The sequence below is a fragment of the Homo sapiens genome, chromosome 8 (genome assembly GCF_000001405.40).
Source record: "Homo sapiens chromosome 8, GRCh38.p14 Primary Assembly".
In the NCBI taxonomy this organism is placed as follows: domain Eukaryota; kingdom Metazoa; phylum Chordata; class Mammalia; order Primates; family Hominidae; genus Homo; species Homo sapiens.
The window spans coordinates 23,804,185-23,820,727 of NC_000008.11; the positions used below are offsets into that span (position 1 = coordinate 23,804,185).

At 36.3% G+C, this 16,543-nt stretch overlaps 1 pseudogene; it reads right to left on the bottom strand.

Annotated features, from left to right (window-relative positions):
- Nucleotides 1-2,044: 2,044 nt before the first annotated feature.
- Nucleotides 2,045-2,193, bottom strand: LOC124900262 (uncharacterized; annotated as a pseudogene).
- Nucleotides 2,194-16,543: the final 14,350 nt, after the last annotated feature.

Sequence of the window (16,543 nt, forward strand, 5' to 3'; positions counted from 1 at the left end):
GCAATTTTCAAGAATACAATACATTGTTATCAACTATAGTCACCATTTTGTATTAAGAACTCTTTCTGACATTCTGAATGTTTCCCTTTAGTGTCCTATCGTGTTCTTTTTCATGGACTTCTTTCATTTCTTAATTTTTGGAGGCTATCAGACCTAAACTATTGCTATTAGTCCTGGACACGGCACACAAACCAAAAATTGTTGGCCTGGCACTGTGGCTCATGCCTGTAATCCCAGCACTTTGGGAGGCTGAGGTGGGTGGATCACCTGAGGTCAGGAGTTCAAGACCAGCCTGGCCAATATGGCGAAAACCCATCTCTACTAAAAATACAATAAGTAGCCAGATGTGGTGGCTCACACCTGTAATCCCAGCTACTCAGGAGGCTGAGGCAGGAGAATGGATTTGACCTGGGAGACAGAGGTTGCAGTGAGCTGAGATCGTACCACGGCACTCCAACCTGGGCAACAGAGCATGACGCTGTCTCAAAAAAATAAAAATAAAAAATAAAAATACATAAAAATATTGTTAAACAGCACATGAGTGCCTCTGTCCTTTGATAGTTAGTGCTCAGTGCTGGGCGTGAGATATAATTTAAACATTAGTTCTCATCACTCCAGGGAAATAATTCTTCACCACTCTTGCCTTATGTCTTGTCTCAAAACTGAAAAGAATTGTTTTTAAATGCTGAGAAGGTTTGTGGGTGGTGTCACTAAAGACATGAGAGGACACTGGTTAGATGAGTGGTGAGGATGTAAGAGGTGGCAGCACTTATGTAAATGTAAAACATTTGAAATTAATTTGTTAAATCATTTTCTCAGATAGCATGAATGCAATAGATTCTTGCATAATGAAGTATAATTTTCCAGTAGCACCTGGTATCCATTTCTGGTTTCTCTTCAGGTTTTAATTGTGGTTTCAGAGTTATTCACGGATTGACATAATATTTGCTACAGTTGCTTCTAACAGCTGAAGAACATTTTCAATTTTAAACAAAAATGCTCTTCGATTTGTATATGTGTGGATCCAGATGTAACATTGTGAAATGTGATACTAATTCTTCATTGGCAAGTAGATGGACATTGAATTGGGAATAAATTTATTTTTATAAAGTACATAGTAAGATATAACTAAGTAAAAATAATTAAATAAAATTCAGCTTTACTTAAATAATTTTGATTTAAACTTTGATATTTTAAATTACTTTTTTTGTCTTTTAATTTTAATGCATTACTTTGTGTGCTTTGGAAAAAATACCTTTCTGAAACATATTATAAAAATAAACTTTTTATTTTTTGAAATTCACTATTTGTTGAAAATATATTGAAATTTTGTAAACTTTGATACAAATATATTTTAAAATCTCATTACTATCAATGGAATATGAAACATGAAAATCTCAATGATAACAGTGATTTTGCTGAAATGAAGGCAGGGAAAATAAAGCTCATGGAATAAACGAGTAGTAATTATGAACGATGTTTGCTTTTATTACTGATCTATACACTACTACTAGCCCAGAAACAGAACATTAGAAAAAGACAATGATAATTATGTTTAGTCATTGTTCATATATATATATATATATATATATATATATATTTCTTTTGCCTCAAAAAATGACATTTATTCAAAGAAAAAAAAGAGACAAGATGTCCACTTCTTGTCTCCCTTCCTTCCCCTCTCCTGCTGCTCCTCAACCTCCCAAGATTGAACCCTGGCTGGGGCTAGGTAGCAGGACAGCCCCTCAGATGAGGTCAGCAGCATTGAGGGGCATCTTCCCAGTGGAGGTGTTGTAGAAAGTCTCAATGTCTTGAAGTGTTCTCTTGTTTTCTTCTGTCACCATGTTAATAGCCACACCCTTAAGGCCAAACTGTCCAACTCGACTGATTCTGTGGATATACTTTTCCCTATTGGTGGGAAGGTCATAGTTGATGACTAAAGAAACCTGCTGCACCTCAGTGCCTCTGGCCTATGTCAAGAAAGACGACTCTTCAGCATATGCATGAGAGGACAATCTATCCTGAGGGGAAGAGACTTAGGTGTCCATGTAGGCAGCCAAGGAAGGCAGAGGAAACAAGCATCCTCTATTCCTCTATTCCTCAAAGACCTTAGGCATGCCAGATTCTATTCCAGGTTGTTACTTTCCTGAGAGGGGCACTGCATGTTCCCTTGGAGAGGGAATCCCCTTGGATTGTTGATATTTTTTGACTTTTAGTCATTTAAAACCCTAGCTTTATACATGCTTTTCAATTTTGTTGTTGTGAGGGAATATTCATCAAGATGGGAGGGAGAGAGCATATTTTATTTATTAGCTTGATCTATACTTTTAAATATTTAAACATATGGTACATGGGCCTTGATGTATATTCTTTCCCTAGGTGACTTAGAGTCCTGGTTATTCTCTTGGGTCTAGGCCCAGAATTGAAGGCTACTGAAATTATTATCTGAGCCCTTCCCTGTGTTCACGTCTTCCTTCCCCTGTCACCCACTCCTCCTCTAAATTGGAATAGCAAAGCAAAGATCATGGAGAATAATGTACGATTTATGTTCTAACAATCCATGGTTGAGATAGAAAATAGCAAGATGTTCTTTATATAATCAAGTGCTTGTGGTGAGATGAAACGTCCTAGTATCTTTGAGAAGGAACCAGTGAGCATTACCAGCTCCTTGAGGATAGAGGCTATGTAGAATTAATCTTTATTCTTTAACTGTGCCTAGCAGAGTATCTTGCAAATTAGGGAACGTTTTTGGAAACAAGGTAACTTTGCAAGGCTTGGAAGATGAGTAGAGTTTGCATAGACAAAGAGTTGGAAGCCTCTGAGCTGGGAATGCAATTGTCAGCAAGGTATAAAGGTACATATGTGTACCTGTGTATGTGTGCATGTGTGTGTATGCATGTTTGTACAAAGGTACACACGTGTACCTGTGTATGTGTGCATGTGTGTTTATGAGACAGAGAGATGAGACTGAGGGTGGGAGAGGGGTGGGGTTAGAAAGGAAGAAATTTTAGCTCAGGTGAATGGGAAGGTATGCTGGAGGAAAGTAAGAAATTAGATGGGTTAAAGTAGGGCCCCGATTGATGCAAGACCTTGGAAAAAAAAACATTATTCTCAAGTTACATTAGGAACATGTGGAACAGAGAGGACAGTACTGCTACTGGAAAAAGGGTGATTTAATGGGTAATTGCGAATTATTGTAATTACTTCCAATCAAACAAAACAAAGGGGGAATAATTAAGACGGTGCCAGTGTGTAAGAAATTTGAGTTTTAATGTCTGCAAAGCTCCAGAGTAAGCAGAAAGGAAAGCACGTTACCTACCTTACAACCGGGCGCTTTTTCTAAAGACATTTTTAAGAGCCAATTTTTTGAGTGGCTTTGCTTAACTATAAAGAAAGCAAAGAGAAGCAGGAAGGGTGAGGGCCAGGAAAATTTGAGATGATTTTTCCCTTGTTACATAATGAAACTTAAAAAAAAAGTAGATAAGCGCATCAGTCCATCAGTTTCTTTGATTTTGGGCCAAGTCAAAATGTCCTCTGTTCTGTTTGCTCGTTTTTAAAAAGCTTAATGTTAACAAACTCTAATCCATTTAACTCTTCTTTTGGAAGGACACTTATGCTCATAAGAAGATGCAACACCTGTCAAAGAAAATCTTGTGAGGTTGAGAAGATGAGCAGTTTTTATTAAAGTGAATCCAAAAAAGAACTAGGGCAAATTTATCTCCAGCACTCCTAGTCCTAAGAAAGGTGTTGGAGAATATTTAAAGGAAGGAGCTTGTCCCAAATGGTCCTTTTTTTTTTGTTTGTTTTGTTATACAAAATACAATAAACATGCACCCCACAGTATGCGAATTACCCTGTAAGTAAAAGTCATTGCAATAATATCGGGGAGTTCCATTGCTGGCCCTATTATCAATTGGCTCTGTGACTTTGGAAAACTAATGCCGTCTTTTTGCGCCCCTATCTTCATTATCTGAGAACTTAAAGAATTGAAATAGATGATCACCAAGGTACACTTTAGGAGGAAGAAATGGAGGGCCAGGGGCAGGTAGGAAGTGGTTGTCCAGAGAAAGGTCTGGGTGCTAAGCGTGTTCATTGTTTCTGGGGTTCATTTTTTCAAGGCTTTTGAGCCTTGTAAAGCAAGAAAATTTATGTGTGTTTAGTAACTCATTATAAACATATATCTATAAATAGATCTGAATATAGCTGCCTTGTCTATAGAAATCCAAACATAACTTCATACTGACAGCTCCAACTGGAATCCATTGCCAGATGGATCAGTCTAGCCTCCTCCCCTTGTTTAATTGAGACCTCCAACTTCAACAGTGAGAATCTGGCTCCCACCATTTGAGATCCGTTTATTTACTTGTTCAGTTCTAGTATATATGTACAGTGGTATCATGAGTGTTAAATTATACCCTGTGGGAAACAACTTTATCAACTAGAGTATAGTGCTTATGTACAATTTGTTTTGGCTTTGATGTTATGGAGTCCACCCATTTTCAGGTTTGTCAGGTTAGTATCTCTCCCTAACCACCTTCAGGGAGGTGGTTTTAGACATTTGTAATACAATTAGATTATTTTGCCATATTCTGCATTTCATCTTGATATTCTCCAAACTTCTAAATAATTTTTGAAAAATTTGCATGCATTAAGGCTCACTCTTCGTGCTACGAAGCTCTGTGGGTTTTGACAAATGAATAGTATAATAATGTATTTACCATTAGAGTATCATAAAGAATAATGTTGCCGCCCTAAAAAATTCCTTGGGGTTTACCTACTCAACTCTCTCTCCTTCCCCCAGAATCCTGGCCAACACTGATATTTTTACTATGTTTATAGTTTTGCCTTTGCCAGAATGTCATATAGTTGGAATCACATAGCATATAGGCTTTTCAGACTGACATTTTTCATTTAGCAATGAATGCATTTGAAATTCCTCCATGTCTTTTTGCAGCTTGGTCGTTCTTTTTCAGAAATCACTAAATAATATCCCATTGTATGAATGTACCACTTTGTTTATCCATTCAGCTATTTAAGCACATCTTAGTTGCTTCCTGTTTTGCGCAATTATGAGTAAAATTACTACAAACATTCCCTTGCAGTTTTTTGTGTGGGCATGAGTTTTCAAATCAGTTGGGTAAATACCTAGAAGCATGATTGCTATATCTTATAGTTAGAAACTGCCAAACTGCCTTCCAAAGTGGCTGTACTATTTTACATTCCTATTAACAATAAATGAGATGAATATTACTTTTTTAATTGACCCAGGAGATTTAAAATGAAAATCTTTGACTTTGCTGGAAGTTTCTAGTTCCCTTTCATGAAGGGGAGAGTACAGAGATGGTGCAAGGATCAAACACTTGAGTGTTATGGAGACCAAGAAGAGAATAAATTAAGAAAATGGATATATATGAGAAAAACAGAGTGATTGGGTCTGTGGCTATTCAAAGTATATGTCTAGCTGCTACTTGGCTGTAGCTAATTGTTGTGACACAGGAACTTGGGTCCAGTGTTTCTAAATTTTGTAAGTTTTTCAAGAGAAGCCAAAAATCTAGATTTGTATATACTGTTCCATTTTTTAAAAATATAGACAAGAAACTTTACATATTAAAAGTATATAATTTGGTAAAGTTTGACATATGTTTATGCCACTAAACCCATCACTCTGAACACTTTTCTCATTTTTCTTGGCAATCCCTTTCCTATCCCACCTCCCAGATAGTCATTGATCTTTTTTTGTCACTATACATTAGTTTGCATTTTCTAGAGTTTTTTTTAAGTAAATAAAAGTATACATTGAGCATTCCTTTTAACTGCCTTCTTTTGTTCAGTATAAATATTTTCAGATTTATTGATGTGTTATCAATAGTTTTTTTTTTTTTTTTTTTGAGACAGAGTCTCGCTCTGATGCCCAGGCTGGAGTACAGGGGCGTGATCTTGGCTCACTGCGAGCTCTGCCTCCCAGGTTGACGCCATTCTCCTGCCTTAGCCTCCCGAGTAGCTGGGACTACAAGCACCCGCCACCGCGCCCAGCTTATTTTTTATATTTTTAGTAGAGACGGGGTTTCACCATGTTAGCCGTGATGGTCTCAATCTCCTGACTTTGTGATCCACCCTCCTCGGCCTCCCAAAGTGCTGGGATTACAGGCGTGAGCCACCATGCCCAGCCATCAGTAGTTCATTTTTATAGCTGCATAATTTTACATTGCATGGCTATCCTACAACTTGTCTATCCATTGATCTATTACTATTAATTTAGGTTGCTTCAAATTTTGAGTATGACAGATTATTTGCATATTTGTATATGTGTTTTTATATGGATGTGTATTTTTTATTTCATATTAATATTCTTAGAATGATTGGGTCATGCAATAAATGAACAGTTAAACTTTAAAGAAACTGCCAAAATATTCTCCAGAGTGGTTGCATCATTTTACATTCTCACCAGCAGCGTAGGAGAGTTCCGTTCTTCCAAATCCTCACCAACACTTGGTATGATCAGTCCTTTTAATTTTAGCTATTCTAATGGGTGTGTAGTGGTATCTTTTTGTGGTTTTAATTTGCATTTTCCTGATCACCAATAATACTGAGCATAGTTTTGTCCTTTATTTGTCCTTCACATATCTTCTTTGATGAAGTGTCTATTCAAATAGTTTGTCCGTTACTACATTGAGTTGTGGTTTTCTTATTGGGAATGGAGAGTTTTAAGAATATATATATATATATATTTTCTTTATATATATAATATATATATTCTTAATATATATTATATATAATACATATTATATATAATATTATATATATATATATTTCTAGCATATGTGTATAGTATATGTGTGTAGCAGTATCGTGATTGTTAACTTATACCCTGTGGTAAACAACTTTATCAACTAGGGTATAGTACTTATGTACAATTTGTTTAGCCTTTGATGTTGTGGAGTCCACCCATTTTCAGGTTTGTTGGGGTAGTGCCTCCCCCTAACCCCCTTCAGTGAGGTGAATATGTATGTATGTATATATATATGTGTGTGTGTATGTGTGTGTGTATTCTATATGCATCCATCATCAGATATATGCTTTGCAGATATTGCTTGCTATCTGTGTTTGCTGTTTTTATTTTCTTGGCAGGGTCTTTTGAGGAGCTGATTGATTTGTTCTTGGGTCTTAATTTATAGAGATTACTGAGTGACAACACAGATAGGTCAATGCCATTGAGAGAAAAGTTTAATGTTACTCATAGTTTCCTTCGAAATGCTAGGCACAGTATAAAATGGTGGCCACAGGTGAAGCACCGGTGTCAGTTAAGAGGCAGAAAGAAGCAAGGGGAAGGCACAGGTCACAGAACTTATTGGGGTCTCTATTGGAAAGTCAAAGCAGGGCAGGGGAAAAAGCTTAGGATCAGCTCCAGCAGGCTTTAGGGTACAGGGTTGTCCCTAGTTGTTTGGTACCTTGCCCTGGGTTGATTTAGGGCAGGGGAAATACTGACTTGGTGTGTGAGAATTAGATAAAGGAGGTGATTGGGGGTATGAACTCTGGATTGGTTAGTTATTTAATAATATATGAAGGGTAGACTTAACAACAAGTTATTTACTCTCTCTGGGAATGAACTAGCCCTTGCAGGGGCAGTCTTTCCCTAGGCAGCAAGATCCTCCCCAAAATGTCAAAACATTATAAAATACACAAAATAAAAGTTGTGATTAATACACAGATGTTGGATGGGCACAGTGGCTCACACCTGTAATCCCAGCACTTTGGGAGGCCAAGGTGAGCACATCACTTGAGCCCAGGAGTTTGAAATCTATCTGGGAAATATGGCAAGACCCCATCTCTATAAAAAATACAAAAATTATCTGGGTGTGTTGGTGTGCGCTTGTGGTCCCAGCTACTTGGGAGGCTGAGCTGAGAGGATCGCTTGAGTCCAGGAGTTAAAGGCTGCAGTGAGCTGTGATTGTGCCACTGCACTCCAGCCTGGGTAACATAGTAAGACCCTGTCTTGAGAATAAATAAATAATACACAGATGTTTTTACATTTAGATAAAGTCCAATTTATCAACTTATCTTTTGTGTATACTCTTCTTTTTGTTCTAGATAAGAAATAATTGCCTCACTCCGTGCCACAAAGATATTCTCCTATGGTTTTGTCTAGAAGTTTTGTAGCTTTAGGTTTCACATTTTAAATCTATGACCCATCTTGAATTTACTTGTGTGTATGGTTTGAAATACATGTTGAAGTTCTTGTTCTTTTTTGCTTATGAATATATAATGATTCCAGCACCATTTATTGAAAAGGCTAGCCTTTCCTGAGTTTCTTGACTTGCCTTTGTACTTTTGTCAAAAGTTAATTGTACCCATATCTGTGGGTCTATTTCTGGACTCTATTCTGTCTTACTGATCTGTTTGTCTATCTTTGCACCCATTCTACACTGTTTTATTTGTTGTAGTCTTATACTAAGTCTTGAAATCATTTAGTTTTGTCCCCTGACTTTGTTCATCATTTTCAAATTGGTTCCTAGAGAAGATCAATACAATTGATAAAATTCTAGTCAGACTGATCAGGAAAAAATGGAGTAGACACAAAACTACCAATATCAGGTGTGAAAGAGTTGATTCTACAGATACTAAATTTGACCACTTCAATGAAATGGACACATTTCTTGAAAGACACAAACTATCAGTGCTTACCCAAAAAGAAATAGTTAACCTGAATAGCTCTACATCTAACAAAGAAATTTGTGATTAAAAACCTCAAAAAGAAAACTCCAGGCTATTGTTTTGGCTATTGTCCTGTCTATTTTAGATCTTTTGCATTTCTGTAGGAATTTTTGAGTAAGTTTATCAATTTCAACAAAAACCTACTAGAATTTTGAAATTTTGATTGGCATTTCATTGAACGTATAGATAAATTTAGGAATAATTCATAGCTTAACAATATTGGGTCTTCTGATCCATAGACAAGGTATAGCTCTCCATTGATTTAGATCTTCTTTCTTTCTCATCAATGTTCTGTAGTTATTTTTCCTTTCACTATCCTCAATCACAATGGGAATGTGTTCTGTACTTTTTAATGTACAGACCTTGCATATCTTTGTCAGCTATTACCCAAGTATTTTAATACTTTTAATGCTATTGTAAAAGGTATTAATTTTTTCTATTTATAATTATTCCTTAGTGTTATATAGAAACAGAATTAATTTTTCTATGTTGATCTTGTATCCTGAAGCTTTACTATAATCATATATTAGTTGTAGTCTGTTGTTTTTGTAGAGATCATCAGATTTTCTACATAGATGATTGTGTGATTACAAATAAAGACAGTTTTGTTTTTGTTCTTTCCAATCTGGAGGCTTTTATTTATTTGTTGTTTTTTTTCCTAATTTAACTAGATGAAACTCTCTATAGAATGTCGAATGGAAGTGGTGAGGGTAGAAATCTTTGCCTTGTTCTTGATCCTTAGGTGTAAAATAATCAATGATGTTAGCTATGGTCTTTTAAAAATAGATATATTATATCAAGTTTCTTCTAATTCTAGTGCTTCAAGAGTTTATTTCAGGAATTGATGTTGAATTTTAACAAGTTTTTTTTTCTGTGCTAATAGAGATCATCATATGATTTTTATTTTTTAGTTTATAAATATGGTGAATTAAATAGATTGATTTTTGAATGTTAAAACACTGATGGATTATGATATATTGTCTTTTTAATATATTGTTGAACATGCTTGCCAAAATTTTTTTGCTATAATTTTACACCAAAACTCATGAAGGATATTGGCCTGTAGATTTCTCTTCTTGCAATGTTTTGGTCTGGCTTTAGAATTAGGGTTATGCAGCCTCATAGAATACATTGGGAAGTATTCCCTTCTCTTGAATTTTCTGTGAGAGTTGGTGTAGAATTGGTACTAATTTTTCCGATATATTTGAGAGAATTAACCAATGTAGCCATCTGAGCCTGGTGTTGTCTTTTGGAGAAGGTTTGAAATTATAAATTAGATTTCTTTGTTAGACATAGAGCTGTAAAGATTAAATGTTTCTTCTGAGTAAGTATTGATAGCTTGTGTCTTTTAAGAAATGTGTCAGTTTTATCTAAGTGGTCACATTTAATATCTGTAGAATCAACTTTCATACCTGATATTGGTAATTTTGTATGTCTTCCATTTTTTTCCTGTCAGTCTAGCTAGAGTTTTATACATTATTGATCCTTTCAAAAACCAATTTTTTTGTTTATTTGTATTATTGATTTGGTATAAGTAGATCTATTTCATTGTTTTCTGCTTAGATCTTTATTATTTCCTTTGTTGTGCTTACTTTGGAATTAATTTACTCTTCCTTTTCTAGTTTCCTTAAGGAGAAAGCTGAGGTAATTGATTTGAGGCTTTTTTTCTAATATAGGTATTTAGTGATATAAATTTCCCTTTAAGGATGGTGTCAGGGAAGGTAGTGGAGTAGGATGTGCCAGGAATCTGTCTCTCCAACTGGACAATAGTACAGCAGAAACTGTAAGAGGTAAGTGTTTTTGGACCTCTAGGGTTTATTTGAATGTTTGCCACTTCTGGGTGAAGACCTGGGCTAGTAAATTGCAGCAATTTTGGTCACTTTTAACCAACAGTACAGTGGCAGCTACCTATTCTCCTTCCACTCCCAACCCTGTGGCAGCTGCTGAGGAATGGCAACTTGTGGTTTTGGTGCTGCTTGTGTTATCCACAGTAGGTAATAAGGACTTTGTTCCCCAAATATTGGGGTTTTGTTTTATGGTTTTGAATTGTTGCTCTAATGGATGAGGTATGGGCATGGAGGCTGGATGCCATTGTTCTAACCTCCATGGGCTGAAGTGTTTTCCAGGATATTGAAAGGTCTGAGCCTGTTCTTTGGACAATCAAAGGCAACTCTGCATACGGAGAACGTTAGAAAGTAACTGCTTATGCCCAGAAAAAGACACAGATGCAGTAAAAACCTGATGAAAGCTTAAGCTTTTACTTTAAGCTGACCCAGGCATAGAGCCATGCTACAACAATCAGAAAAAGAGCAAAATCTGAAGGAGAAGAATCTAATTTCCATAGTTATTACATTATAAGATTCAAACTTGCAGTTTACACCAAAAAAAAAAAAAAAATCACAAAGAAACAGGAAAGTATGGTCCACTTAAGGGAAAAATATAAGTTGACAAAAATGTACCTGAGGAAGCCCAGATATCAGACTTACTAGACAAAGACTTTAAAACAGCTGTCTTAAAAATGCTCCAAGAGCTAGTGGAGGATATGGAAAGAGCTCTAGGCACAGAATTTTGTATGTTATTGAAGTTAAATTGGTCTAAAGTCCAATTAGATTGTTATAACTTTAGGATGTTAAAGGTGAGCCCCATGGTAACCACAAAGAAAATACTGAAAACCAAAACATTTTACTACAAAAAATTAAATAATCACAAGACAGTAATAAATGAAGAACAAAAAGCTATATGGCAAATAGTAAACATATGGCAAAATGGCAGAAGTTTCTCCTTATCAGTAATTATTTTAAAATGCAAATGGATTAAACCCCCTAATACAAAGACAAAGACTTGCACAATGACCCCCCCTCCCTCACAAAAATGAGATGATCTAATTATATTCTGTCTACAAGAGACTTACTTTACATCCAAATACACAATTAGGTTGAAAATGAAATGATAGAAAAAGATATTTCATGCACATAGTAACTAAAAGAGAGCTGAAGCAGCTACACTAATATTAGACAAAATAGGCCTAACTTCAAAAAAGTTCAGAGGACAAAGAAGGATATTATATATTAATAAAAAATTCAATACAGAAATATGATATAGTAATTTAAACATTTACATACATGAAGCTTGAATTACTGTTGTTCCCTGTGCTTTTGGTGTAATATTTCTGGACTTGTTGCCAAATCCAATGTCATAAAGATTTTCTCCAGTGTTTTAAGAGTTTTATAGTTTTAGCTCTTATGTTTAAATCTTTGATTCATTCTGAGTTAATTTTTATACAGTATAAGGTAAGAGCTCAATTTTATTCTTTTGCATATTGATATCCTGTTTTCCAGCATCATTTGTTGAAAAGATCATCTTCCTCACTGAATAGTCATGTTATCCTTACCAAAAACTGTAAGGTTAGCCAAGAGAAAGGATGAGAGAGAGACAAGGTTAGGCGAGGAAGTTTATTAACCTGCTGGATGCTCCACCACAGACAGAGGAGGCAGCACTAAGCTTACAGAATGAGGGATTTATATTGGGGAGGGGAGTTTGAGGGAGTTCTTTGGTATGGCCACATCCCGGGGTTGTGTCCTGGTTAATTTTGCCACATATCAGCTTGTGACGTTTATTACAGGAGGGTGTAGGTAAAGTTGGTTTATACTTCCCATGACCTTCCCCTGTGCAGTCCAGATGGTTTGTAACTGGGGTTTGCTTATCGCAGCAAGGTCTGATAAGTGAAGTCTGCTGGCTTTACCATGGCACCTAGACAAGGGTTTAGAAATGGGGGAAGGGTGAGCAGCACCAAGAAGCTTTCTTGGGGCAGTTTGTCCCTAACAAAAATCAACTGACCATATTTGAGGATTTATTTCTGGTTTCTATTCTATAATATTTCACTGGTCTATATGTCTGTCTTTATGCCAGTGCTATACTATTCTAATTACTGTAGCTTTATTGATAATGTTATTCAAGTTTTCTATGTACTTTCTGATTTTTTGTCTACTTGTTCTATCAGTTATTGAGAGAGGGATATTGAAATCTGCAATGATAATTGTGTATTTGCTCATGTATCCTTGACGTTCTATTAGTTTTTGCTTCATGCATTTTTAAGCAATGTTAGGAAGAGCATAAACATTTAGGATTATTACACCCTCTTGATGAATTGACCACTTTATTATTGTGAAATTACCTTCTTTATCTCTGGTAATAATTTTCGATTTGAAATGTACTTTTTCTGATACTGATGTAGTAATCAACTTTTTAAAATTAGTGTTTGCATGGTGTAACACTTTTAATTTTAATCTATTTGTGTCTATATTTAAATCACATCTCTCCCATTCATTTATGTATGCAATTACTTATTAATATTAGTATGGACTCATAAGTATTTATTTTATAATTTGGGTTATAATATAATTATACCTAATTTTTTTTTTGCTCAAAATAACGTGAAAACAGTCTTGTTGGTAGAATATTTTTTCTTTCTTTTTTTTTCACCTAACTCACCCATAGCAAAATATTTTTAAAGATATTTTTTCTCCCTCCCCTTCTTAGGAGACTTCCATAATATATATGTTAGTCCAACTAAATTTGTTCAACTGATACTCTTTCCTGTTTTTCTCTCTGTGTTCCTTTTTGTATAGTTTCTATTGCTATGTTTTCAAGTTCTTTTCTCTTTTCTTCTGCAGTGTCTCATCTGCCATTATTCCCATACACCATTATTTTACAATCTCTGATGTAGTTTTAACTTCTAAACATTGCATCTTTGTCTTAATTTACCTTCCATATTTCTTTTTAAGTTTTTTTTTCTTTTATTATTATACTTTAAGTTTTAGGGTACATGTGCACATTGTGCAGGTTAGTTACATACGTATACATGTGACATGCTGGTGCGCTGCATCCACTAACTCGTCGTCTACCATTAGGTATATCTCCCAATGCTATCCCTCCCCCCTCCCCCCACCCTACAACAGTCCCCAGAGTGTGATGTTCCCCTTCCTGTGTCCATGTGATCTCATTGTTCAATTCCCACCTATGAGTGAGAATACACGGTGTTTGGTTTTTTGTTCTTGCGATAGTTTACTGAGAATGATGATTTCCAATTTCATCCATGTCCCTACAAAGGACATGAACTCATCATTTTTTATGGCTGCATAGTATTCCATGGTGTATATGTGCCACATTTTCTTAATCCAGTCTATCATTGTTGGACATTTGGGTTGGTTCCAAGTCTTTGCTATTGTGAATAATGCCGCAATAAACATATGTGTGCATGTGTCTTTACAGCAGCATGATTTATAGTCCTTTGGGTATATACCCAGTAATGGGATGGCTGGGTCAAATGGTATTTCTAGTTCTAGATCCCTGAGGAATCGCCACACTGACTTCCACAATGGTTGAACTAGTTTACAGTCCCACCAACAGTGTAAAAGTGTTCCTATTTCTCCACATCCTCTCCAGCACCTGTTGTTTCCTGACTTTTTAATGATTGCCATTCTAACCTTCCATATTTCTACTTAACTTGTTAATACTATTATATTTTATATTTGTTTTAACTCCCTTGTATTCTAATTCTAACATCTCTTTCAGTTCTGGGTTGGTTTTTATGGATTGAATTTTTTCTTTATAAGGCATATTTTTTTGGCTTCTTTGCATGCCTGGTAAGTTTTGATTGGGTTCTAGACATTGTGAATTTTATTTGTTAGTTGCTAGATGTTTTTGTATTCTTGTAAATATTTTTAACCCTTGTTCAGGCACACAGCTGAGATATTTGGAAATATTTTGATTCATTTGGTGTCTTGCTGTTTAAGATTTGGTAAGTGGTGCAAGAGCAGTATTTGGTTTAGGGGTGTATTAGTCTGTTCTCACACTGCTATACAGACACTGCCGGAGACTGGGTAATTTATAAACAAAGGAGGAGGTTTAATTGACTCACAGTTCTGCATGGCTGGTGAGGCCTCAGGAAACTTACAGTCATGGCAGAGTGGGAAAAGGCATGTTTTACATGGTGGCAGGTGAGAGAGCGTGTGTGAGGACAGGAAAAACTACCATTTATAAAACCATCAGGTCTTGTGAGAATTCACTCACTATCATGAGAACAGCATGGCAGAGACTGCCCCCATAATTCAATCACTTCTCTTCCTCAACATGTATTGATTACAACTCAAGATGAGATTTGGGTGGGGACACAAAGCCTAAACATATCAAGGGCAAATTATTTCATACTACTGAAGCAAGACCCTTTTGGGAGCTGTACCCAATGCTCTGTGAATTATGAGATTCTCTAGTCTAGCTGTTGAAAATAGCCAATATTCTTGGCTTCATGTGAATGCCAAAAACTTTTTTCCTGGTCCTTTTGGATGGTTCTTTCCCTGGCCTCATTTTCTGACTAGTATTCTGCTGAAAACCCAAGTGGGACTCTGCAGATATCCATGGTCCTTTCCATGTGCATCTCTCTCCTTTCTGATAGTTTATCCTGTGAATTCTAACTATCTTAGTCTTTCAGTTCCATTTCCTCAATTCAGGGACTGCTTTAAGCTCCTTATAAGTTACTCTTCCTCCTATTCCCTGTCTTGGAAACCTTCTCAAGGCAATATACTGGGGGCAATGACAGGGTTCATCTCATTTGTTTATCATCTTTCAGGGATCATTGCCCTTTATTACCTGATGTGCAGTTTCTTGAAAATTTTTGTTACATATGTTTTGTCTTTTTTTTGTTGTTTTGTTTACTTTGGTTTGCTTGTTTCAGGCAGGAGGGTAAATCTGATCCTTGTTACTATATGTTGGATAGAAGTTGAACATCATTTGTTAAATACTGACATTTAATACAGAATTTTAGAAGATATACTGCAAGCAAACAAAAACCATCTGGTATTTCTTTTAGCCCTTAGGTCATTAGTTTGTGATCTCTGAGATAGTCAGTCACATGGACAGGCAAAAATGGCAGTTTTAATTGAATGTAGTAAGAGCCATGATAAAAGTTGCTATGGGAGCTCAATAGTTGAGGCTCTAACCCCACACTAGGTATGAGGAAGCCTTAATGACTGCACACATGTTATTTGATAAAGAAGGCATGGTGGGAGGAGACGATAGCTCAGGTCAGAGATTCACCATGGATAAAAACATATTGATGTGGAATCACATGGCATGAAGTAGGAACTACAATCAGTTTGATTTCATCAAAGAATAATAAGTAAGTGTTCAAGTGAGAGTTCTCCAGAAAGACAGAACCAATAGGATATATGAGAGGGGATTTACTAGGGGAATTGACTCACAAAATCACAGGAGGCAGAGAAGTCCCACGACAGGCCCTCTGAAAGCTGGAGAACCAGAGAAGGCAGAAGTGTGGCCCAGTTCATGTCCTGAAGCCTCAGAACTAGGGAAGTCGATGGTGCAGCTTCCAGTTTGAGGCTGAAGGCCTGAGAGCCCTAGTTAAGCCATTGGTGCAGGTCCCAGAGTCCAAAAGCCAAAGAATCTGGAGTATGATATTCCAAGTCAGGAGGAAAAAAAAGTCATATTGTTTGGAAAGGGAGAGAGGGAGTAGAGAGAAAATCCATCCTCTTCCTTCTGTTTGTCCCGACTGGGTCCCCAGATTGGATGGTGTCCACTCACACTGAAGGCAGGTCTTCCTCTCTCGGTCCACTGACTCATAGGCCAATCTCTTCTGGAAACACCATCACAGACACAGCCAGAAACAATGCTTCAGCAGCCATCCAGGTGATCCTTCAATCCAGTCAAACTGACACCTAAAATTAACCATTGCATCAAGGTAGAAATGGGCAGCTAGCTCATGAACAGCCTTATCTGTCATGCTAACACATTTAGCCTTAGTCTTGTAAATAATGGA